This window comes from Homo sapiens, chromosome 4 (assembly GCF_000001405.40).
Source record: "Homo sapiens chromosome 4, GRCh38.p14 Primary Assembly".
Classification (NCBI taxonomy): domain Eukaryota; kingdom Metazoa; phylum Chordata; class Mammalia; order Primates; family Hominidae; genus Homo; species Homo sapiens.
This window is the reverse complement of record NC_000004.12, coordinates 152003798-152005899: the sequence shown is the minus strand read 5'-3', so window position 1 is coordinate 152005899 and position 2102 is coordinate 152003798. Positions and strand designations below refer to the sequence as shown.

The 2102-nt window shown below is 45.2% G+C and overlaps 1 annotated feature.

Annotated features, from left to right (window-relative positions):
• Window positions 724-1225: an enhancer, noted in NCBI's record as "NANOG hESC enhancer chr4:152925827-152926328 (GRCh37/hg19 assembly coordinates)". NCBI's record gives its function as "activates a minimal SCP1, AML or CMV promoter by ChIP-STARR-seq in naive H9 embryonic stem cells {active_cell/tissue: H9 hESC(naive)}" and the evidence as "EXISTENCE:reporter gene assay evidence [ECO:0000049][PMID:30033119]".

Sequence of the window (2102 nt, the reverse complement as noted above, 5' to 3'; positions counted from 1 at the left end):
TGTAATACAATGTGGAAGTGATGGTTGTACAATTATGTGAATGTGCTTAATATTACGAACCATACACTTAAAAATCGTTAAACTGGTGAAGTTCATGTCATGTGTTATTTCACCACAAGAAAAAATAATTGAAGCAGGGCATGGTGGCTCACACCTGTAATCCCAGCATTTTGGGAGGCTGAGGTGGGCAGATCACCTGAGGTCAGGAATTCGAGACTAGCCTGGCCAACATGGTGAAACCTCGTCTCTACTAAAAATACAAAAATTAGCCAGGCATGGTGGTGGGCACTTGTAATCCCAACTACTTGGGAGGCTGAGGCAGGAGAATTGCTTGAACCCGGGAGGCGGAGGTTGCAGTGAGCTGAGATTGCACCATTGCACTCCAGTCTGGGCAACAAAGAGCGAAACTCTGTCTCAAAAAAAAAAAAAAAAAAAGCAAAAAGAAAAGAAAAAAAATTGCCCAAGTGCAGGATGAGAGAGACATGGCTTAGCTACAGATTTAAACCCTGGTATTAAAAGTGAGATGTAGCTATTGAAAAGTGTATTTGAATCTGGATTTTGGAAGAAAAATGGAGGCTAATATTTATAGAACACCTACAACATGCCACATCTTTTTATGGGCCCTTAATGACAATTCTGGAAGGTAAGTGTTGCTACACCCTAAACAACAGAGAAACCAAGTAATGGCCCAGTTTCAAATAGTCAGTAAGGTCGGGGCTCTGCTGTTTTCTCTATCTACACTTTCTCTGTTCAAAGATACGGCCCCTCTGTGGTAGGCCTGGAGGAACTGCCAGGCCCTGGTATTCACTATCAGCCCTGCCTGAAAATCACATGTAGAGACTGCTCTTCACTCCTTGGGGAGCACAACCTTAGTGGCTCAAGGTAGCGTTTTACTTGCAAGGGAATGCTTCCGCCAGGTAGTGTTAACAGCAATTAGTTTATCTGATTAAGCAATTAGCAGTCTTTGTCACTTAGCAGAGATCTGGGCTCACAGGAACGAAAGCATAGCAGATAAGATATGAAGGGGAAAAGATGGGAGCAAAACACCACGAGGAGCAGTAGAGAGGCTCGGAGAGAGAACCAGATGCCTTCAAAGAGAAGAGGACAGAAGGGAGGTCCTGGAGACCCACGACATCACCTCGGCAACATCCCCCAGAACAGATGAGGAAACTGAGGGTCAAAGTCAACAACAATTTCCCAGCTAGTTGGTTGCAACTGGCCAGGTCAGTAGTTCTCAACTGTGGCTGCACATTAGAATCATCTGGGGACTTTAAAAAATACCTATGCTGGAGCCCCACCCCAGACCTTGTAAATCAGAATATTGGGGAAGGGGCCTGGGCATTGGTATTTTTAAAAAGGGTCCAGGTGATTCTAATGTGCAGCAAGGGTTGGGTGGCCTTGGAGACCCTGGTGGTGGGTTGCTCAGGCAAGAGGTATAGCTCCATGCAGGGATTTCTGGCCGGGGAGACACCGTCTGATCAGCTTGGGAACCTTACTGCTATCAATGCACATCTTCCCTCTGTCCAGTTGCATGGTTCTGAGGATGAAAGCACTTTCTCATCAAAGGTGGGGAATCCCAGAAGAGTGAAGGATCACAAAACCTGAAGCAAGCCAGCCTGGCCTCTTCATTTCTCCCAGGATATCCATATAATTCCCCTTTTTTCCATGCCTGCTTCTGAATCTCTCCCTGGCTCCATTGCTGCCTACAACGCCTGCTCCTTCATGAGCTCTCTTCATTCAGGTTGGTCTGAAATACTCATTCTTCCATAAATTGTTCCCCAATTTCCAGGAAAAGAGGATTTATCTGCTTCTTTTACTTTGCATGATTATATAATATACTTTTACTCTTTGTCACTGTAAACTCTCCCAGTTTTCATACCTGTGCCGGGCTGGCTACATACAGCAAACCACCGACGAAGTTATCTAGGCTGGGCATGAGGACTCTCAGGGCTTACCCTCAAAGCATCTAATCCAAAGTCCAGGCTGGGCTCAGGAATCTGTACCACTAAAAATACTGCCTACTTTAGCCAGGTTTGCCCCTTGGCTTATACAATATGTTATAAAATGTTAAGGAGGCTCTCTTCTTAGGTTACTGTAGTCTT